The 24737-nt window shown below is 36.2% G+C and overlaps 1 protein-coding gene across 8 annotated transcripts in view, besides 1 other annotated feature; it reads right to left on the bottom strand.

Moving 5' to 3' along the window:
* RUNDC3B (RUN domain containing 3B) overlaps positions 1-24737 on the bottom strand; it is a 203899-nt gene that overhangs the window by 5428 nt on the left and 173734 nt on the right. For 4 of the 8 annotated variants that reach the window (NM_001394228.1, NM_138290.3, NM_001134405.2 and 1 more), the window contains 2 exons: positions 19350-19496; positions 10607-10728 (listed from right to left, as the gene is read on the bottom strand). In NM_001394228.1, coding sequence (NP_001381157.1) covers positions 10607-10728; positions 19350-19496 — 269 coding nt within the window. The remainder of the gene's footprint in view (positions 1-10606; positions 10729-19349; positions 19497-24737) is intronic. The other 4 variants (NM_001394224.1, NM_001394226.1, NM_001394227.1 and 1 more) reach the window with 2 other exon arrangements.
* Positions 7437-7938: an enhancer, noted in NCBI's record as "NANOG hESC enhancer chr7:87448246-87448747 (GRCh37/hg19 assembly coordinates)". NCBI's record gives its function as "activates a minimal SCP1, AML or CMV promoter by ChIP-STARR-seq in primed H9 embryonic stem cells {active_cell/tissue: H9 hESC(primed)}" and the evidence as "EXISTENCE:reporter gene assay evidence [ECO:0000049][PMID:30033119]".

Below are 24737 nucleotides of genomic sequence, written 5' to 3'. Positions count from 1 at the left end.
TTGTTTCATCTTTTTGCCTGGAAGTCACCAGTATGTTTTCATTATTGTTACTATGTAATAATTTTAGTAGAATTTGTCTTGTAGGTGATTACTTCAGGCAAATTTTCTTTAGTACTTGGTTAGATCTTTCAATTTGTATATTATGTCTTCATTTACTTCCAAACGTTGTTCTTGAATGATAGATTTTGGTATTAGTTCTGTTCCACTATTTTATCTTCTCCAGTGACTCTATAAACATGTAAATTTGATATTCTTGCCTTTCTAATTCAACCACTTCCTAACTCATTTTACTTCTTTCTTTATCTCATTTTCATTCTCTTGGTTGTTTTCCCATTTTTCTTCAGTGTTTTAGATTAAGTTTTCTTTCAAATCCATTCTTCTTTAGATACCTTGTATTAGTCCATTTTCACGCTGCTGATAAGGCATACTTGATACTTGGAAATGTATGAAATAAAGAGGTTTAATGGATTCACACTTCACGTGACTGGGGAAGCCTCATGATCATGGTGGAAGGTGAAAGGCACATCTCACATGGCAGCAGACAAGAGAAGAGAGCTTATGCAGGGAAACTCCCCTTTTGAAAACCATCAGATTTCGTGAGACTCATTCACTATCATGAGAACAGCACACTAAAGATCTGCCCCCGTAATTAAATCACCTCCCACCAGGTTCCTCCCATGACGTGGGAATTGTGAGAGTTACAATTCAAGATAAGATTTCGGTGGGGACAGCCAAACCATATCATTCTTCCCCTGGCCCCTCCCAAGTCTCATGTCCTAACATTTCAAAACTAATCATGCCTTCCCAACAGTCCCTCAAAGTCTTAACTCATTTCAGCATCAATTCAAAAGTCCACAGTCCAATGTCATCTGAGACAAGGCAAGTTTCTTCTACCTATGAGCCTATAAATCAAAAGCAAGTTAGTTACTTCCTAGATACAATGAGGGTACAGGAACTGGGTAGATACAGCTGTTCCAAACTGGAGAAATTGGCCAAAACAAAGGGGCTACATACCCCAAGAAAGTCCAGAATCCAGCAGGGCAGACAAATCTTAAGGTTCCAAAATGATCTCCTTTGACTCCCTGTCTCACATCCAGGTCATGCTGATGCAAGGGATGGATTCCCATGGTCTTGGGCAGCTCCACCCCTGTGGTTTTGCAGAGTACAGCCTCGCTTCCGGCTGCCTTCACAGGCTGGTGCTAAGTGTCTGTGGCTTTTCTGGGTGGATGATGCAAGATGTCAGTGGATCTACAATTCTGGGATCTGGAGGACAGTGGTCCTTTTCTCACAGCTCCACTAGGTGGTGCCCCAGTAGGGACTCTGTGTGGGGGTTCTGACCCCACATTTCCCTTCTGCACTGCCCTGGTAGAAGTTCTTCATGAGGGCCCCACCCCTGCAGCAAACTTCTGCCTGGGCATCCAGGTATTTCCCTACATCTTCTGAAATCTAGGCAGAGGTTCCCAAACCCCAATTCTTGACTTGTGTGCACTTGCAGGCTCAACACCACGTGGAAGCTGCCAAGGCTTGGGGCTTAGACATTTCTCCCATTGTCTTGGGGATTAACATTTGGCTCCTTGTTACTTATGCAAATCTCTGCTGGCTTGAGTTTCTCCTCAGAAAATGGTATTTTCTTTTTCTTTCTTTTTTTTTGAGATGGAGTCTCGCTCTGTCACCCAGGCTGGAGTGTGGTGTGATTTCGGCTCACTGCAAGCTCCACCTCCCAGGTTCACGCCTTTCTTCTGCCTCAGCCTCCCAAGTGGCTGGGACTACAGGCACCCGCCACCATGCCCAGCTAATTTTTTTTTGTATTTTTAGTAGTGACAGGGTTTCACCATGTGCAGGAGGTATTTTCTTTTCTATCACATTGTCAGGCTGCAAATTTTCTGAACTTTTATGCTCTCCTTCCCTTATAAATTGAATGCCTTTAACAGCACCCAATCACTCTTGAATGCTTTGTTGCTTAGAAATTTCTTCCACCAGATACCCTAAATCATCTCTTTCAAGTTCAAAGTTCCACAAGTCTCTATGGCAGGGGCAAAATGCTGCCAGTCTCTTTGCTAAAATATAACAAGAGTCACCTTTGCTCCAGTTCCCAACAAGTTCTTCATCTCCATCTGAGACCACCTCATCCTGGATTTCATTGTCCATATCATTATCAGCATTTTGGTCAAAGATATTCAACAAGTCTCTAGGAAGTTCCAAACTTTCCCACATTTTCCTGTCTTCTTCTGAGCTCTCCAAACTGTTCCAACCTCTGCCTGTTAACCCAGTTCCAAAGTCCCTTCCACATGTTTGGGTATCTTTTCAGCAGTGCCCCACTCTACTGGTACCAATTTACTATATTAGTCCACTTTCACACTGCTGATAAGACGTACCCAAGACTAGGCAATTTGTGAAAAAAAGAGGTTTAATGGACTCACAGTTCCATGTGACTGGGGATGCCTCACAATCATGGTGGAAGGTGAAAGGCACATCTCACATGGTGGCAGACAAGAGAGCTTGTGCAGGGAAACTCCCCTTTTTAAAACCATCAGATCTTGTGAGACTCATTCACTATCATGAGAACAACCTGGGAAAGACTTGCCCCAATAATGCAATCACCTCCCACTGGGTTCCTCACATGACACGTCATTTCTTCTTCTTTATTAGACATTGATGTTCTTAGGTTTTGATTTCCAATTTGAAATGTTTCTGTCTTATGACTAATTGCTTGTTGGAGGATATTTAATAAAATTATATGATTTTATTTTATGAAAGTATCAAATTATCACATGTACCCCCAAAATATGTATATCCATTATGTATCAATTTTAAAAGTTACTTTAATAGGATACAGAAATTATATGGCTTTATAACATCTTTTTTCCTGCTTCACTATTGTTTTCCTGGGTGGTGAAGTTCATTGGCTTAATTATTTTTCTCAATTTATGTGATTTTTTAAAATTAGTTTTGCAAGGTATAACGAACCCAAATGCCCATCAATCAACAAGTGGATACAGAAACTGGTATGTATGTATGTATGTAGGTGAGTGTGTATATATATATGTGTGTGTGTGTGTGTGTGTGTGTGTGTGTGTATATATATGAAATGGAATACTACTCATTCATAAAAAGGAATGAATTAATGGCATTTACAGCAACCTGGATGAGATTAGAGACTATTATTCTAACTGAAGTAACTCAGGAATGGAAAACCAAACATCGTATTTTCTTACTCATAAGTGGCAGCTGAGCTATGAGGATGCAAAAGCATAAGAAAGAGACAAAGGAGTTTGGGGACTGAGAGGAAAGGGGTGGGAAGGGGATGTGGGATAAAAGACTACAGTTGGGTGCAGTGTATACTGCTCAGGTGATGGGTGCACCAAAATCTCATAAATCACCACTAAAGAACTTACTCATGTAACCAAACATCCCCTATTTCCCAATAACTTATGGAAATAAAAAAATTAAAAAAAATAAAAATAAAAAATAAAGATACTCAATTTTAAAGAAAGAAAAAAAATAGTTTTGCATAGACAGTGTGTTTGCTCCTCAGGATTTCTATGGAAAGGGCTATGTGACTTGGATGGTTTATGAAATTTTAAAAAGAGTACCTGTTGGGGTTCAATCAGGCTTGTGGAAAAAATATTACAGATAGTTATAGAAATGGACATAAATCATCTTGGAAGGCCAGAGGTTTGCATAACTTTGGTAATAGATCTGGCTAAAGGTGGCCTGATCCCTTTACCTTTAGTTAAACAAATTAAAATAGTAATAAAGAAAGGCAGAGTAGTTTAGCTAGCTAGCTTGTTTACACATGTGATCTTTTTTTTTAATTTTATTTTATTATTATTATACTTTAAGTTTTAGGGTACATGTGTAAAATGTGCAGGTTTGTTACATATGTATACATGTGCCATGTTGGTGTGCTGCACCAAATAACTCGTCATTTAGCATTAGGTATATCTCCTAATGCTATCCCTCCCCACTACCCCTACCCCACAACAGTCCCTGGAGTGTGATGTTCCCCTTCTTGTGTCCATGTGTTCTCATTGTTCAATTCCCACCTATGAGTGAGAACATGCAGTGTTTGGTTTTTTGTCCTTGCGATAGTTTGCTGAGAATGATGGTTTCCAGTTTCATCCATGTCCCTATAAAGGACATGAACTCTCAATTTTTTATGGCTGCATAGTATTCCATGGTGTATATGTGCCACATTTTCTTAATCCAGTCTATTGTTGTTGGACATTTGGCTTGGTTCCAAGTCTTTGCTATTGTGAATAGTGCCGCTATAAACATATGTGTGCATGTGTCTTTATAGCAGCATGATTTATAGTCCTTTGGGTATATACCCAGTAATGGGATGGATGGGTCAAATGGTATTTCTAGTTCTAGATCCCTGAGGAATAGCCACACTGACTTCCACAATGGTTGAACTAGTTTACAGTTCCACCAACAGTGTAAAAGTGTTCCTATTTTTCCACATCCTCTCCAGCACCTGTTGTTTCCTGACTTTTTAATGATCGCCATTCTAACTGGTGTGAGACGGTATCTCATTGTGGTTTTGACTTGCATTTCTCTGATGGCCAGTGATGATGAGCATTTTTTCATGTGTTTTTTGGCTGCATAAATGTCTTCTTTTGAGAAGTGTCTGTTCATGTCCTTCGCCCACTTTTTGATGGGGTTGTTTTTTTCTTGTAAATTTGTTTGAGTTCATTGTAGATTCTGGATATTAGTCCTTTGTCAGATGAGTAGGTTGCGGAAATTTTCTCCCATTTTGTAGGTTGCCTGTTCACTCTGATGGTAGTTTCTTTTGCTGTGCAGAAGCTCTTTAGTTTAATTAGATCCCATTTGTCAATTTTGGCTTTTGTTGCCATTGCTTTTGGTGTTTTAGACATGAAGTCCTTGCCCATGCCTATGTCCTGAATGGTATTGCCTAGGTTTTCTTCTAGGGTTTTTATGGTTTCAGGTCTAACATGTAAGTCTTTAATCCATCTTGAATTAATTTTTGTATAAGGTGTAAGGAAGGGATCCAGTTTCAGCTTTCTACATATGGCTAGCCAGTTTTCCCAGCACCATTTATTAAATAGGGAATCCTTTCCCCATTGCTGGTTTTTGTCAGGTTTGTCAAAGATCAGATGGTTGTAGATATGCGGCATTATTTCTGAGGGTTCTGTTCTGTTCCATTGATCTATATCTCTGTTTTGGTACCAGTACCATGCTGTTTTGGTTACTGTAGCATTGTAGTATAGTTTGAAGTCAGGTAGCGTGATGCCTCTGGCTTTGTTCTTTTGGCTTAGGATTGACTTGGCGATGCGGGCTCTTTTTTGATTCCACATGAACTTTAAAGTAGTTTTTTCCAATTCTGTGAAGAAAGTCATTGGTAGCTTGATGGGGGTGGCATTGAATCTGTAAATTACCTTGGGCAGTATGGCCATTTTCACAATATTGACTCTTCCTACCCATGAGCATGGAGTGTTCTTCCATTTGTTTGTATCCTCTTTTATTTCATTGAGCAGTGGTTTGTAGTTCTGCTTGAAAAGGTCCTTCACATCCCTTGTAAGTTGGATTCCTAAGTATTTTATTCTCTTTGAAGCAATTGTGAATGGGAGTTCACTCATGATTTCGCTCTCTGTTTGTCTGTTATTGGTGTATAAGAATGCTTGTGAGTTTTGTACATTGATTTTGTATCCTGAGACTTTGCTGAAGTTGCTTATCAGCTTAAGGAGATTTTGGGCTGAGACAATGGGGTTTTCTAGATATACAATCATGTCATCTGCAAACAGGGACAATTTGACTTCCTCTTTTCCTAATTGAATACCCTTTATTTCCTTCTCCTGCCTAATTGCCCTGGCCAGAACTTCCAACACTATGTTGAATAGGAGTGGTGAGAGAGGGCATCCCTGTCTTGTGCCAGTTTTCAAAGGGAATGCTTCCAGTTTTTGCCCATTCAGTATGATATTGGCTGTGGGTTTGTCATAGATAGCTCTTTATTATTTTGAGATATGTCCCATCAATACCTAATTTATTGAGAGTTTTTAGCATGAAGGGCTGTTGAATTTTGTCAAAGGCCTTTTCTGCATCTATTGAGATAATCATGTGGTTTTTGTCTTTGGTTCTGTTTATATGCTGGATTACATTTATTGATTTGCGTATGTTGAACCAGCCTTGCATCCCAGGGATGAAGCCCACTTGATCATGGTGGATAAGCTTTTTGATGTGCTGCTGGATTCGGTTTGCTAGTATTTTATTGAGGATTTTTGCATCAATGTTCATCAAGGATATTGGTCTAGAATTCTCTTTTTTGGTTGTGTCTCTGCCCGGCTTTGGTATCAGGATGATGCTGGCCTCATAAAATGAGTTAGGGAGGATTCTCTCTTTTTCTATTGATTGGAATAGTTTCAGAAGGAATGGTACCAGTTCCTCCTTGTACCTCTGGTAGAATTCAGCTGTGAATCCATCTGGTCCTGGACTCTTTTTGGTTGGTAAGCTATTGATTATTGTCACAATTTCAGATCCTGTTATTGGTCTATTCAGAGATTAAACTTCTTCCTGGTTTAGTCATGGGATGGTGTATGTGTCGAGGAATTTATCCATTTCTTCTAGATTTTCTAGTTTATTTGTGTAGAGGTGTTTGTAGTATTCTCTGATGGTAGTTTGTATTTCTGTGAGATCGGTGGTGATATCCCCTTTATCATTTTTTATTGCATCTATTTGATTCTTCTCTCTTTTCTTCTTTATTATTCTTGCTAGCGGTCTAACGATTTTGTTGATGTTTTCAAAAAACCAGTTCCTGGATTCATTAATTTTTTGAAGGGTTTTTTGTGTCTCTATTTCCTTCAGTTCCGCTCTGATTTTAGTTATTTCTTACCTTCTGCTAGCTTTTGAATGTGTTTGCTCTTGCTTTTCTAGTTCTTTTAATTGTGATGTTAGGGTGTCAATTTTGGATCTTTCCTGCTTTCTCTTGTGGGCATTTAGTGCTATAAATTTCCCTCTACACACTGCTTTGAATGTGTCCCAGAGATTCTGGTATGTTGGGTCTTTGTTCTCGTTGGTTTCAAAGAACATCTTTATTTCTGCCTTCATTTCGTTATGTACCCAGTAGTCACTCAGGAGCAGGTTGTTCAGTTTCCATGTAGTTGAGCGGTTTTGAGTGAGTTTCTTAGTCCTGAGTTCTAGTTTGATTGCACTGTGGTCTGAGAGACAGTTTGTTGTAGTTTCTGTTCTTTTACATTTGCTGAGGAGTGCTTTACTTCCAACTATGTGGTCAATTTTGGAATAGGTGTGGTGTGGTGCTGAAAAGAATGTATATTCTGTTGATTTGGGGTGGAGAGTTCTGTAGATGTCTATTAGGTCTGCTTGGTGCAGAGCTGAGTTCAATTCCTGGGTATCCTTGTTAACTTTCTGTCTCGTTGATCTGTCTAATGTTGATAGTGGGGTGTTAAAGTCTCCCATTATTATTGTGTGGGAGTCTAAGTCTCTTTGTAGGTCACTAAGGACTTGCTTTATGAATCTGGGTGCTCCTGTATTGGGTGCATATATATTTAGGATAGTTAGCTCTTCTTGTTGAATTGATCCCTTTACCATTATGTAATGGCCTTCTAAGACTAACCTTTGGTGTACCCTGGGTGCTTAAGTACCTTTTACTCAGGAAGCCCACAATGTCAATTACCCTCTAATGGTGTTGACTCAAGCTTTTGTTAATCTTACTGAATAATCAGTCGGACTAGCTGATCAGGGCCGAGTCACAACTGTTTACAGGACTCAGCAGAGAGCCCGTAAGCAGCTCGGACCTTCAGCTGGACTGGCATAGCAGAATATCTGTGTGTCTGTGTACTTTATGCATCTGTCGCTGGGTCAGGGGTCTGCAAGGGACAGACTCCCCATAGCTCGTTCCCCCTTGAGAGGAGTGCTGCCGGAAGTACCTCCTATCAGTGTGCCAAAGTATGCTGTTGTTGTTGTTGTTTGTTTGTTTGTTTTTACTGTATGGCTTTTCTGGCTTTAAATTTACCTTCTTAACACTGCTTCTCTGCATCCCACATGTACTTTACCAGAATGCTGTTTTCATATGTTCACACTTAGGGTTGACTTTATCTTTCTAGAGGTGATTTTTGATCAATCTAAGCCTGCCACAAACATCCCAATTCCTTCTTTTGCACAGTTTAATTTTTCCTCCACCCCTGTGCTCACAGCTTGTTACAGGAGCATGAGAGCCTGCTTGTATTTGGTATTTATTTTTCTACTCCCAGGCAATTTGAAGTTTATTTAATGTCTGCTGTTTATGCTGAAAGCTTGGGTTTTGTGTGGTTTTATTTGTTCTCTTATTATATTTGTATAGGATATGCTGATTCAAACCTGCATCACTCCATTGTCTCAACTGTCCAAAATTCCTCAGTTTTTTAAAATCAGATTTGAGAATTCTAGGAGTCTTACTAACTCATCATGAGAACATGTTTCCTTCCTGATCACCAGTTTTTTGTAGTCTATTATATCATGCAGCCTCCTTTCTTGTTGGGTGGCAGTTGGTAGATTTTTGGTTAATTTTTACTCATTTTATTAAATAATTGGGTATGGAAACTCTGTAAGTAACTTTTAATCTGCTATTAAACCTTGAATTATTGAAGACAATACAGTTGTTTTTATAGTGTCAAAATGCTCATTATTACTCTTGTCCTGTTGATATCAAAATACCTATAATTAAAAATTAGAATAAAATCCTAAATGTCTTTTAGATGAAGAATCATCATAAATAAATTCATTCATAGTATGAATTAGCTTTTAAAATATACTCATTATGGATTATGACAGTGAATCCAAGTTACTATTGGATTTATAAAAAAAGTACTAAAATATTAAAATATTAAGATTAAGGCCCTTTGAGAACATTTCAACAACCAACTTAAAGAAAGCAGAAAATTCAGTTCGACACAATATTTACACTGCCTAAGCCTGCTAGTTAAATGAATTTCTACTTTATTCCTCACATCCTATGTCATTATATGGTTACTTGATCAATAAATGTTTAATAAGTTGCCTATTTTGTGTCAAGACTCTAGTTCATACACTGGTGAAAATGATGGATAAGATTTTTACCCTCATGAACCTTACAGTTCAGAGGGGGTTTACAGACAAGAATCATAATAAAATGCATGGCAGTATGATAGAGCATGCCTGGCATGGGCTGGGAACAGAGATGGGGATGGGGGTGGCTATTTACAGTATGGCAGTCAGTGAAAGCTTCTTTAGAAAGATGACATTTGAAAAGAATCTACCACGCAAAGGCCTTAAGAAAGAAGCTCTGGGGCAGTGGAAAAAGCAAGTGCAAAGACAGTCAAGGCAGGAACCAGCCTGAAGAAATAGCTAGGTCAGTTTGCTATGGTACACAGAACAAGGAAAAGAATGGTATGAAATGAGGCAGATGCTGGCAAGAACAAGGTCAAGTAGGAGGCTAGGAAAAGCAGTTTGGATTTTATTCTAATTGCCATTGAAAGCCATTGGAGAGTCTGAAGCAGGCTTATAATATTTTCTGATCTAAGTTTTTAAAGGTCACTGATTGCTACATGGAGAATGGACTGTGAGGGGGCAAGCAGCTTGCTCCAAGTGGCAGAGACTAAGGTTGCAGTAATAGAGAAGATTATGAGTAAATGTATATAGCATGTTTTATATGGGAGCTGACAGGACTTGTTTATAAATTGACTGTAATTGTAAGGAGAAAGAATAGAATCTAGGATAATGGCTATAGTGCCAATATTTACTGCAAGAGAGAAGGCAGGGTAAAAATTGGAGGCTTAAGGGAATGCAGGTTCCCCTGAGGTAGGGGATTATCTTTCTTCCCCTAGCTCTCATATATACCTGAAGTTGTAAACTGGGAGGAAAGAAAGAAAGATAAAAGATTGAGAACCAGATCATACCAGTGAACTCATGCCATCCAAAGTGCTGGAGTAACAGCTTTAACCTATGCTGAAGGAGAGAAAGAAAAGAGCTTTGAACCAAATAGATGACTGGTTTTAAAACCAATAGGTTGAGTCTTAGAAACTGAAATGGGACCATATAATTCAAACTAGCCTGAAAAGTTAGGGAATTGGACCAAATGATGTTGGGAAGATGCAACCCAATGGGAAGAGAGGCTGATATTGCACATCTGAAAGCAGTAATAGGAAAAAATAAAACACTTTTATGTTTGTTCCTGAAGATTTTTAAAATACTCAATAAACCAGGTACCATGAGTGATTCAAGAATGAGGAAGTGGTCAGTTGTGTCAAAAGCTGCTGAGAAGTTTAATGGAATAAGATAGAACTGACATTAGCAGTTCTCTGCAATATGTTAATAGCTGATTACCTTGATGAGTCCTTTTATTGAAGTGACACAAAAGCTAGATTGGCAGGGGTAAAAAAAAGTACAGGAAGTGAGTAAATGAAGGTAACAAAGACAAGTGTTTTGAGAAGGTTAGCCCCCCCCACACACACACGAGAAAGACACAAAGGCAGACCATTTTTAATCATAATGGCTGCTTAATTTCTAGCATGATTAACAGAGATGTCACTATTATTCTCTGGCAATCATCTGCAACCAAAATATAGATGGTACAGGAAAAGAGTAATTTTCAAATAGTTCTTTGTTTTCTTACCTTCACTCATTACATTTAATGTGTCTTGTTTTCCATCTCCTTCTTGTGACTGGCCTGGATCTAGTGAAGTCTGAGAAAGGCTAACTTCTGCTGATAACTGGTCAAGACTTTGATAACTTTTCCTGTAAAGCAAGGATGAAATACTACTTGAATTTCTTTTCACAAAAAAATAATTTCTTGAGTGGTTATTTAATGGTTTTCAATATGTTAAATTTCTGGTTAAAATTCTCCCCAGCATTTCTCCTAAATTTTGCTTCATATTCTTGGCTTCAGTATGATCTCCATTATACTTTCTATCATCTTTCAAGGCATATCTGTTTAATCCATTGGAAAACAGGAAAAAAAAAGAGTTTGTCAGACATAATCTTCATACCAATTTTTGATTACATAGATGGTTAAGAAATGGGAACTTCTGGTTATTACCAATTTTCAAAGAACAAAAAATCTTCAGATTACTCTTAATGAAGATATAAAATTGGCATAACAATAATGACCTAGTGTCTTTTAAGCACTTCAGAATTCTTCAGTGCCTGGACATTATTACAGATGGCCTTGACATTATTACAGATTATATAGCAACAAAAACAAATTATTATTACAAATTCCTGTAATTAAGAAGTTTAAAAACTGCTGGGTAATAAAATACCTGTTTGTATTAATATACATCAAGACGATTAAACTCTCATCTAGTTGCTATTTTGAGGCCCATTTTCTATTAAGCTAATAAAAAGTTAATTATATTAGATGATAAATTCAGTTACAAATGGAAAGTTAATGAAAGCTTATTATTAACCTTTCCTCATATTTGGTTCTTCAGGATAATCCCAACTCAAAAGATAATTGCAGCTTTGGTGTTACATTTTACATAACAGGACAAAATTATTATTTCCATATATAAGTGGTCTAGGGAAAGAATATGTTTTTCAGCCTCAATATCTATTTCCTAAGGTAGCCAAACACCATCTAATTTCCTAGAAATATATTTTACAATAATTTTTATAGGAATGCACATGTAATTTAAATTATCTATTTCACAGTTATCTCTAGTCACATACACAAAAGTAGACTTAGTTACAGGTTTTCAGAAATATGTATATTAAATGTGATTTGAATGCTTATATGTAGTCTCCATTTTATGTTAATTCACGACTCCATTCAAAATGGGGAGGAAGGGGGGGAAAGAATTTACTTTAGTAACTGAATAACAAACTAGATTGACTGTTTAAAAAAAAGGCAAAGCCCAATAGGTTTTACCAAAACAAGTTATTTTTAATTGCTTTTGTACATATTCTCCATCAATTTTATTAAGATTTTATAGGATTTCATAACGAATGGACAACATATATTCATAATGAATATACAACAGGTAAATATTTGTTTTTCCCTCTAAGAAATGAAGAATGAGGTGACAGAATCACTTTACCAGCTTATAATACAGTGTTCTCACTTTATAATTTGATGACTTTTAAATGCTTATAGTATTAAAGTCCTTATTTAAAATAATTTTTAACTACCAGAAAATTCTACTATTGCAGGAAACTTATGATGATTACAACAAATAACATTTATATGAGCTATGTAATGTGCAATAAAAATGATATCTAACATTTATATAGCACTTACTATATGTTGGGCACTTGTCTACATATATTATATATATGAACTTATTTCATCCTCACAACTACCATAAGAAGCTAGAATTATTACTATCTGCACTTTATGGCAGAATAAACTGGGTCACAAAGAGATTAGATTTAAACCTGTTAGTCTGGCTCTAATTCTCTCTCCTTAAATACTATGCTATCTACTCCCTAGTATAGGAAGAAAAGATTTGGCTTCCTATTTTATTAGAAATAATTCTCCGGCCGGGCGTGGTGGCTCGTGCCTGTAATCCCAGCACTTTGGGAGGCCAAGGCGGGCGGATCACCTGAGGTCGGGAGTTCAAGACCAGCCTGACCAACATGGAGAAACCCCATCTCTACTAAAAATACAAAATTAGCTGGGCGTGGTGGCAGATGCCTGTAATCCCAGCTACTTGGGAGGCTGAGGCAGGAGAATCGCTTGAACCTGATAGGCAGAGATTGAAGTGAGCCAAGATCGTGCCACTGCACTCCAGTCTGAGCAACAAGAGTGAAACTCCATCTCAAAAAAAAAAAAAAAAGGAAAGAAAGAAATCATTCTCCAAGAATATCCTTGTTTAATGAGACAGATCATGTAAACTATATTTAATCGTATCACAGAAAATCTCACTTGATTTTCATTAAAATCTTTTTTTTTTTTTTGAGACGGAGTCTCGCTCTGTCGCCCAGGCTGGAGTGCAGTGGCGCGATCTCCGCTCACTGCAAGCTCCGCCTGCTGGGTTCATGCCATTCTCCTGCCTCAGCCTCCTGAGTAGCTGGGATTACAGGCGCCTGCCACCACGCCCGGCTATTTTTTTTTGTATTTTTAGTAGAGACGGGGTTTCACCGTGTTAGCCAGGATGGTCTCAATCTCCTGACCTCACGATCCTCCCGCCTCGGCCTCTCAAAGTGCTGGGATTACAGGTGTGAGCCACTGCGCCCGGCCAAAATCTTACCTCTTTTAGCTAGAAAGGAAAGCAAGAACATAGGAATTTAAAAAGTAGTTATAAATACATTTCCTTTCCAAATTATTTTTTTTGTGCCCAATAGGTAGGAGGCTTACTTTTTAAGTTGAATGATAGCTCAAGATGAGTTTCTGACACTGATTTTTCATCATAAGAAAACTTGTTAGTATTTCTAAATTTAAAAAAATTATATATAGAAATAGTTACAAACAGTATAAAATATCCATAAGCAAAAAGACATAGAATTCATCTGAATATTGTAAGGACTGAAAAAATCTGACAGTACACATTTACAATAATCTCCAACACTACAACCCACTGCAGGGAAAAAACTCTGTAAAAGCAGCTTCTGACAATAGTAACATGAAATGAGCTTTCTGCGTGACCTACTGAGGTTCTTTTTAGAATATCACTTTCTGAATCCAAAGTGGTGTTAGAGCCTTTCTCCCCTTTAATTTGTCACAGTTAGTGAACAATTACTGAGTTTATAACTTTGCTTAACCAAATGCCAATGAATATGGAAATAGAATTTGGTAGATGATGTTCTGAAGCAATAATAAACATTACAACCCAAAATTAAGTACCTCATTAATAAAATATTAAGAACTGTACCTTACAATATCTTCTTTGCATGAAAATGACTACAAATCCACTATCTAGGAGGAAACAAATTCAGTTGTTTCAGTAATGGCTAAGAATGGGTTTGGTTTCCTCATTTTTACCTGATTTCCAATGTGACTGACAGCTCCATCTGACAAACATTTTGTAGTCATGCGGTAACGGTAACTGATCTATAAGAGTTCTGTCTTTATAAGGCCATAACTAAGCCCTATCTTAGAATCCTAGACTCATTAACATCACACAGTAAGATTGCAAGTAACTCAGCAGATACATTAATCCAATTAACAGCTATTACTTTCTCAGAAGATAATTTTTTACATACAAGTAGTTTAATCAAAATAAGAACCCAAGACAGTAAGAGTCATTCATTCTAATTATACAAAAATCTGTAGTTTAATCTTTACCTTTCCATTGTTAAATATAATATTTATTTATTTACTTATTTATTTGAGATGGAGTCTCACTCTGTTGCCCAGGCTAGAGTGCAATGGCACGATCTTGGTTCACTGCAACCTCTGCCTCCCAGGTTCAAGTGATTCTCCTGCCTCAGCCTCCCAAGTAGCTGAGATTATAGGTGTCAGCCACCATGCCTGGCTAATTTTTGTAGTTTTAGTGGAGATGCGGTTTCACCATGTTGGCCAGGCTGGTCTCGAACTCCTGACCTCAAGTGATCCGCCCGCTGTGGCCTCCCAAAGTGCTAGGATTACAAATGTGAGCCACTGTGCCCAGCCATTGTTAAACATAATTTAAATTAAACTTGTAGGAATTATGTCATGGGCATTTGGGAAAATCTACTAAATTCAACATCTAACTATTTGAACATTTTTAAACCTTAAATATAAACATCTATACATGAGATTGGATATCAAGTAAAGGCAAATCAAAAGGAAATTCAGAAATAATCCTGAATTTGTTAATTTTCTACAATCTTATATTTTATATCAATAATCAGAAGTAATAAATGATTAATCTATGCATTTGCCCAGTATTGTGTTAAGGTTAATAATAATTTATCCAGTAGTCATTGGGCAACAGACAGTGTGATACATAGAAGGAGATGAGCATTATCCAAAAACAAATATATGTATGTTGTATATACAGAAGCACATGAATGTACATCGAGACAGATATGTACTTTTTGTTCTTTGTTTTCACAGAAATATGTCTAAGGAACAAAATAATCATTTGCTACAGGAGAATATCTATATTCTCTTAATTTATTAAAATCAACAGAAGGATGCAAGGAAAGCCTAACAGGGAAGGGCATATATGAGTTATGTCAATGCCCAGTTTACAAGTTGTAAAAGATTTCTGCAGTTAGGGTCTCCTACTCCAAAAATATTTGAAAGACATGAATGGGAAAGAGAACTGTGAATACATATGAAGTGAAAGTCATTATAAAAAATTAAAAGCCAGCCGTGCGCGGTGGCTCATGCCTGTAATCCCAGCACTTTGGGAGGCCAAAGACCCACTTTGGGTGGGTCATGAGGTCAAGAGATCGAGGCCATCCTGGCCAACATGGTGAAACTCTATCTCTACTAAAAAATACAAAAAAAATTAGCTGGGTATGGTGGCAGGCGCCTGCAGTCCCAGCTACTCGGGAGGCTGAGGCAGGAGAATCACTTCAACCCGGGAGGCAAAGGTTGTGGTGAGCCGAGATCGTGCCACTGCACTCTAGCCTGGCGACAGAGTGAGACTCCATTAAAAAAAAAAAAAAATTAAAAGCCTAAATAGTAGATCATGAAAGCATGTAAGAGCTCATGATTCTCAATAATTTTGCAATGTGAATTATGGCCAAATTGGGAAATGATAATTTGAAAAGACTAAAAAAGCTTAAGTAGAAAATATAAATATGATGACAACGAATCTGATCTTTTGGGATAAGAATGGGTGAGTTAGGCAATAATCTAATAAGATTATGAAGATTATGTAACAGATAACCTACCAGGATTATTTAACAAACTCATGTGACCTAGACTTTACATATATATAAAGATATTAAAACAGAACTTACTGGAAACAAATAAGTAAATAATTATTCTATGTGTGTGTTAAAGGAACATGTTTTATACACTTATTTATTGTTCGGTTTTTACAGTAAGCCTGTCATGCTTTAAATATTTAATATATCATGTTACATTGTTAAAGCATGACAGGCTTTTAAAGTTAAAGTATTACAGGCTTTTACATGGTATCATGTTAAATTGTTAAAGCATGTTAGGCTTACTATAAAAGCATATATTTCAAACATGTATATCATGTTTGAAATATAGGAAAAGATATAAAATCCAGCATAGCTTGCCGGGTCTAACTAATCTTGCCAGGTCTAAGTGATCGATAAATAAACGAAATTATATTTTATAAACAGCATAGTAAAGAGAAATAAATTTAAGATCTTCAATTATGAGAGGGATCCATTTCCATGAGTAGGTGACAATATGACCAAATTATTCAATGGCTTAATTTAAGACTAAGAAATTCATTAAATCAAACAACACACTGTTGTTAAACAAACAGGAGGCCATTAGCCTAAGGCTGTCCCCCTACTCTGAGTTCCTAGTAACAAACTGCTACCTAACTTAGTAAACAAACCAAAGCCTAATTCAGGAGATTTTTTGTAACAAACAGCCAGGTTTCAGCTAGTTACAAACAGCTGAGATTCAGCTAATCCTAGGCAGCAAACTAATCACACCATGCTAAATAAGGTATTTGCTTAGCTGTAGCCAATCAGATGAATTCTCTACTTTGCTTTTGTTTGGCCTATAAAAGCTGCCTACATCCACTGCTGGGCAGAGCTCTCTGAACCTTTTCTGGTTCTGAACGTTGCCTGATTCATGAATCCTTTGCTCAGATAAACTCTGTATAACTTAATTTGTCTAAAGTTTTTCTTTTAACACTCTCTTCTTAAATTGTCTTTGGCTAACTGGTTGAATGAAGTTACAGAGTTCCTAGAGAAATAGCTATAGACATCCCATATCTTTACCAGGAAAAATCATCTACTATCATTAAAACTGTAATGAATTATAGGGTCAGTTTCTTTCTCCAGATTGTCAAGAGAGCTAATGTTCCTTATTAAAAAGGTTTTAGCCACCTCCTTCATAATTTGCAGTTTCTCAATAAATGTCTGTTGAACTTACTTAAGGTATTGGTCAAATCAAAAGGAGCCAGTGATCAGGTAGTTCAAGAGCCTTGGCTTATATTAAAAGTTTGAAGGGAGAAAAAACTGGATCCTGATGAAAAGCTGTGATTGGTTTCAAACGTGATTTTTATGGTGAACTCCTCTATTCTGAAAATCCAAAGCCTCCATTTTATATGAGACAGTTGGATTTATTTATTCAGAACAACTGGGGATGAGTTGTTCACTTTAATTTTACATAAGGTTCAGAAAGTTTAGAAGTTAGGTGGGTATACACTCTCCAAACATTGAAGATACAGGATTACATTAGAGTAGAAACATAAGACTTTATAGAGTATAAATATTTACTGAGAAGCTAGCTATTAAATGCTAGCAATTTATTAGCTCACTTGATCCTTATAATTCTGTTAGACAGGTATTATCCCCAGTATTACATGTGCAGAAAGAAAAGAGCAAGGAGAGGAAGTATTGCTCAGTGTTACACATTACGTAAGTAGCAGAGATTACTTACCAGTCCTGACTTTAAACTCTAGATAAAGTGATCTCTGTACAACACCCTAGCTGCATACTTTTTTGTTTGGGGATAGCAGTTTTGAGATAGGGCCATACTAAAACAATACCAACATCTGAGGACAGGCCAGATTAAAGAATGATGCTAGGATGCCCCTTCTTAAGTTGGTGGAATAACTGAGTCAAGAAGTATAAAATCTAGATCCATGCTAAACAGATGAACAGGAAGTTTCCTTGCCTTCTTTTCTGAGACCACAATTACCTTATCTGCTGCTATAATACTTTGTAAAAATCAGCCATTATTGCAGATGCAGAAGTAAATTAAAAATAAATCTTCCACTTTAGACTTCTTACTGGCTCCTCAATAGATAACTCTGTAGATTGGGAAGTGTACACATCTTCTGGCTAAAATATTTTACCTCTATCTAATGTGACCATGTGGATATTAAAATAAAAAGGCATAGTCTTTTAACTTACCAGGATTTAATGTTATACTATTTTTGCAGTTAAAAAACAGGAGCATCTTATGTGTCATATATAGATAAGGTAAGTGTACCAAGTATTGCAACAAATTTAATTTTTCAATCATAAATTAAAAATAGAAATAAAATAAATTCTTCATTAATTAAACCCACAGGAAGGTAAGATTATATACCAGGATGAGATATATTCTAGTTATTAATAACTTTCATAAGGGCATATAAGGGAACTAGATCCCAATTTATGAAATATCAAAAGTCAGTACCTTGAATCATACTAAGAAGTATGGTTTAGTAGATGTTGAAGAGATTCTACTGATTTATTCTGCAAATAATGTGTTCATCTTTTCCTACTTATCTCTAATAATCAATGAAACAAGAAAAAGCATTGAAGTCTCCAGTACTTATTTTTAATAACAAATAGTCAAATTTACTTTGAACTCTGCCTTTGATAGACAAAACACATCACAGAGTAAAGCAGGTGGAAATTGTTTGTACTAAAATATTCCTTGTAGAAATATCTGGCTACTAATAACCTAGTGAAAGGTACCAAAACAAGCACACATAGATATGTGACTCTAACAGGGAAATTTACAAGCAAGGACTCTAAAAGAGTAGAGAAAGAAACAAAAAGAGATAGGAAAAAGGGAGGAAAGACAAACTAGAGAAAATACGAGAAAAGAGAGAAAGAGGGGGAAGGGAAAAAATCAAACAGAAGGGGATGAGAGGGAGGGATATCAGGAAAAACAGAAAATTAGCTTAAGATAGAAAAATAAAAATAGTGAAAAAATGATTAAGGTGGAAAAGTGGCTAAAAGCCAAAAGAGGATAATACAACTTACAAGTTTCAAGATGAAGATTACCTAAAGGAAAACAGCCTAAGACTCTGCAGCTCTCTCAACATTAGGATACTGTAACTAAATGAAATAGTCCTGAACATCGGGACAAAGAAATAAGAAAAAGATCTTGTGGCCCATAGGTGAAGTGATTATATCTTCTACGGTTTCTAAAAATCAGATTTATTGAAAATGAATAGAATTCTTCAGAACCACCAGGAACAAGTAAATATCTTTCTATTCCTTCAAATTGTGTTTTATGACAAGTGGGAAAATTAGTCCTAAGGCAAATACCACACCAATGATAGAATTCAAAAATAGATGGCTCATTAAACACAAGCTCATATATTTAACTGAAGGACTGGCTGAAGATTCAACTAAAGGAAAAGTAGACAGCTGGTACAATATGGCATAAGAATTTCTCAGATAATCTAACCTTACCAAAGTAGTCCGAAATCTTGTCTTTGCTCTAAGATAATAATAAGTTCAGAAAGAATAACTGAGAAACCAAAGTAGATAGCCATATGTTTTGGTACAACTAACTATTAATTAGTTGGAAAAAAAAGTATTACACTTACTCATACCACTGTTTATTGTGTTTTCGGTAAAGCAACGTATCCAAGGCAACAGCATTGACATCCAGAGCTCCTGGAGAAGGCCACTGGTTGGTGAGATGGGCAGTTAACTCTTGTCTCGATCTTAAATCATTATTCTTTAGCACAGTCCTGTGAATATTAAGATGGTGAGTGCTTTTGTCTTCACTGTTCTACAATGGCAGAGGAACCTAATGGTATCAATTTAGGCCCCCAAAATTTATCTTATAAAATTGGTTTGTTAATAGATTGTGAACAGAACTACAGCAAGGATGGTTGGGACAATGATTGTTCTTTCTCCTGCAATATGTGTTCTTCATTTTTTTTCCGCTGGTTACAACAAATCACTACTTGTGAAATTTAGACTTACTATCTTTTCACATTATTACTAAAGTACTAAAAGACCCAAGTAGCATTTTATATCTTAATTAAAAGGAAGTGATATCTTAAAGATACAGGTTATCAAGCCAATTAAAATATTTAATAAGTAAAGATTCCATGTGTATGATTTCCTAGCTTCAAAACTCAGACACAATCTATTAAAGTATTTTAATTCAAGTAAAGGAAAAGTGATTAAAATGAAAAAAAAACTGACTGCAAAAAAATATAAAATAAAAAAATCCATGAGATTCTCATAACTATTTTTTCTTTTCTTTTTAACACACTGTTGCTGGCTTGAATCCCATGACTGTTTTTGATGGAAGTGACTACTGATAAATCTTCATGAAAATGATTAAATCAATGACAACTACACTGAGCAGTATAAAACACTGTAAATGTTTTAACTACAGAATGAAGCCATTATAACAATCCATGGTTTTAATTTTTATAGAACTGTTACTTCCTAATATCAACTTAGAAAAGAATTTGCTTTCTGCCAAAATTTCAGACTTCAAAAACCAACTGATCATTGTCACAGGATTAATTCAACATTTAAGTTGATGGTTAAAAAAGAATTTAAAAGCAAAGGTCTTACTCTACCTATAAAAGGCCTTAAAGTACCATTTAGGTAACCTGCATCCTCCAACAGGAGTCCATGGCTTTAGTGTGCCAATGTTCTGAGCCATCAATTCAGAAGCAGAGAAGTAATATGTGCCTGCCACTAACTTCCACAGATAAAAGTCCTGTTGTGGGTAACAGAGAGGTGAGTCAGTGAGGTAAGGGCAGCACAATACTGCACTAAAGAAAATCAGCCTGCATGCCACCCCTGGCTGTTTACAATGATACTAATGGAGTAACTATATTTCATATGTCTCTAACAGGCTACAGATGGATATTTCTGATTTTATGGGGTATCTGTGTGCACTGAAAAATACTTGTTCCACTATGTCCACAAGGAAACATTATCTGATGTAAACACTAGATTCTGTCTCAGGATGGAATACTAAAATAGGCCAAAGTTAGTGAGAATGTATCCTAGTAAGATATGATTTTAGCCTAGTGGCCACAATTTCATTTCAGTGGAAAAGAAATTTTTAAAAGGACTTTTAAAGTACTTAAACATTTTTTCAAAAATGAAAACAGTAAAGCTTTACAAAGAGAGTGGCTGGGAAAATTTTAAGACTGACAGGAAAATCATGCAAAACAAAAATAGGAATTATTGGCCAGAGAATCTATTATGATAAACCACCATTATTTTGGATTCTCTTAGGTTTTTCTCTATCATATATTCCATTTCTTGAGGGAATCTAGTGAACATTACTGGAAAACTCAATTTCAATGTCATAATTGGCTTACAGGAAATATTCAGGCAGAATGTGAGAAAAGCAAAGGTGCATCTGTGAGGAAATGGCACTGGTAGAACACAGTTAATAATAGTAATTAACAACCTCCAATTTAGAATATATTCTTTCTGGAAAGTGAAAAGTTTTATACCTCATTAAATGGAAAAGAGAACTGAAGTTCCACAACAGTTTTTATATAACTATTGTCCACGGAGATTTTTGCCTAATGACAAATTAAGGTACTGTCTTTAGACCTTTGTCCTTAGAAATCCTAATGATGTTTTCTATGAGCAGCTGCCTGGTCCTCTGAAACAGGAGATAAAAGATCTCAGCTAATGGAATAGGTGTAGTTTTCCTCCCACACAGCATCTATTTCCCATCTTTTGTGAGGAATGTGGAGACAACAAATCCTGGCACTTGCTCTGCCACTATGAAGAGGAAAGGTTCCTGGAGAATCCTTGTGTAAGGCCTTTTCTTTCATCACTCAAGTACACTATGGGACAGGCAAGTGAATTAAGTTAAGTTGAGAACCTCATCCTTGTATTTTTGAATCTTGACTAGAGTCTGTTTAGAGTAATAAATAAACAGAGCAGTTTATTCACTTTAGTGGTGGGTCCCTGAACAGAATGTACCAGCAAAGAGACATTACTGCAGTTCCTGCTTCCAGCCCTCTGGGGTAGCTCAGTCTCCTTCTTTCTAAGCCTATTTATCCAGTCTTTCTATCCATTCTGTGAGCTGCTGATCTCTTTATAATGAATTCTATTTGTGCACAAGAATTGATTGTGGTTGTTTGCAACCAAAGAATCCTACCACTTACCCTAGAACAAGTGAAATATACCCAGTTAATATCAAAACCTACTCAAAGGTAATCCAATTAATGTTAATATGAAGAATAATGATATTTTTCTTAATTGGCCAAGCTTAAAAATGGTTTCAACTTAAGTTACTCAATAATTGCTATTATTTAATGGTATTAAATCAGTGATAAAGGTTAAAATATGTGACATTTGACTTTAATTAAAATGCTAACCAATGCTGAAATTAGTCTGCTATCTAAAAACTGAATTATTTTATATGTGATAGATTCTATTTATCACTTATCTATAAGTCAATTTCTCATTCCCTCATTAAGACAATGATTCTATAGAAGGTACACTGAAGGAAAACTGTTTAATTTATTATGAAAGTAGCAAGAGTAGAATTATCACAGCTAATTTTCAGAACTTCCCCGTGGTATCTACCTCTAAATTTCTAGATAGATAATTTCTCTTTAGATTCTCAATAGGAATTATTTAGGAATTTGGCTTCTCAAAATAACATAATTTAATTTTATTACTGCAATGACTCAAAACCATTAAAGAAAGGATCTCTTTATATGGATTTTAAGCTACATATAATCCAGTCAAGCCTAACTATGAGGCAGGTTCTGACACTTGTAAAGCTTAAATACAGCTACTGAGACAGCAAGTTGCAAGGCTACTCTATTAGGGAAAAATATTTAAAACTCAAGTTTACTTATACACTGAAAGTATCATCTCCTTGTGTTTGCTCTCCCAGCATTAACTATATCCCTATTATTATTCAAAAGATCCAAATTCCATCCATCTTCCAAGGTTCTTTTGGTTTTCTACCTCATTCGAAAAGATCTTCAGACTACTTCTGTTCACAATGATACAACTTGTATTGCTTTGTGGTGAGTCTCATACAGTTTAATAATCAATTATTTAAATATTTTAATGTTTTATGGATCTTCTACTTTGATTATAAGCTACTTGGGAACGGTAGCTTTGTTTCATATTTATTCACTGTAAATGGTTATCATAATATTGGACATATTGCTGAATCTCCTCAACATATAATTCACATGACCACTAAATGAAAACTTTTCCAGCTTGAGGCCTTATATGGATTCTTGCTGATTTCCCATATACCACCTCATAACAAAAAGTAAAGTTTTAAACTAAAAATTTAGATTAAATCTGCAAAATATTCACGGACAGCATTTTCATGACAATCGAAAAAAATATATTCACAACGAATATCAAGTAAATGTATTAGGTAGGCAGTGGAGGACACACTTAAAATACGTGAAGAAGCAATCATCTAAAAGTCTTTGTGATTGTTGTAGTTTTCATGAGAAACATCCTCATAGAAGAGGGAGTATAGAAAGTACAATTTAAATTCTCCTTCCTTATTATACTCTACCGCTTCTAATAGGCTTCTAGATCCTTGAGGAATCTCCTCTATCTTGCTTTTGCATAAAGATCTTTTACTCTGCAGATAAAAATCTGTCATTTGAAAGTAAAATTTTGTTTCTTATATGTAATTATGTTGACGTATGTGTCAGTTTATCAATTGGCTATTTCATGTGATCTATAAATATATCCTCAATTTTTTGACCTGAATGTGTATTTGATGGATATATGTAAATTCAAAATACTGTGGATTTATAAACCCAAAACTTCTCAACTGAAAAATGGAGTCTAGCTCTCCTGCAAAATTGTTAGAAACAAAACTATAGTTTTCAGTTAAGGTTCAAAGAGCTGTTTTATTTTTCAAAGGAAAAATAGTTCCACATCTTAAGCAAGTCCTTCTGGGAATGACAGAAAAAGTCAATAAATACAATTTATTCTGTGGAACCTAGCTAACCCCTGAAAAGTTCCTATATCTTCTAAATATATAATTCATAACTATGTATAAATATGTATTTTGCCACTGATGCTTTATTCTTTTTAGATTTATAATTTTTCTTATGTTTTTTAAACATTTTTATTTTATTTTATTCATTATTTATTTTGAGTAGGGTCTCAATCTGTCACCCAGGGTGAAGTGCAGTGATACGATCATGGCTCTCTGCAAACTCAAATTCCCAGGGTCAAGTGATCCTCCCACCTCCATCTCCCAATAGCTGGGACCACAGGTGTGCACCATCACTCTTTGCTGAGGCGGGGTCTCCCTATGTTGCCCAGGCTGGTCTCAAACTCCTGGGCTCAGGTGGAGCGCCTACCTAGGCCTCCTAAAGTGCTGGGATTACAGGCGTGAGCCACTATGCCTTGCCTTAATTTGTATTTTTAATTTTTGTGGGTACATAATAGGTGTGTATATTTATGAGTTACATGAGATATTTTGACAGAGGCATGTAATAATCATACCAGGGTAAATGGGGAATCCATCACCTCAAGCATTTAACCTTTGTGTTACAAACAATCTGATAATACTCTTTTGGTTATTTTTAAATGTATAATTAAATTACTTTTGACTATAGTCACTCTGTTGTGCTAGCAAACACTAGGTCTTATTCTTTCTAATTTTTTTTGTGTCCATTTACCCACTTTCCCTCCCTCATAAGACTCATATGATTATTTTTAATTTATCTTTTATTTTTTTTGAGACAGGGTTGCTCTGTCGCCCAGGCTGGAGTGCAGTAGCACAATCATGGCTCGTTGCAGCCTCAATCTCTGAGTCTCAAGTGATCCTTCCACCTCTCAGCCTCCCAGTAGCTGGGACTACAAGCATGCAACCACCATGACCAGCTAAGTTTTGCATCTTTTATAGAGACCCAGGTTTTGCCCTGTTGTCTAGGCTGGTCTCAAACTCCTGGGCTCAAGTGATCCGCCAACCTTGGCCTCCCAAAGTGCTGGGATTACAG

This window comes from Homo sapiens, chromosome 7 (assembly GCF_000001405.40).
Source record: "Homo sapiens chromosome 7, GRCh38.p14 Primary Assembly".
Taxonomy (NCBI): domain Eukaryota; kingdom Metazoa; phylum Chordata; class Mammalia; order Primates; family Hominidae; genus Homo; species Homo sapiens.
Note: the sequence above shows the minus strand (reverse complement) of the source record. Positions and strands in the feature narration are given on the sequence as shown.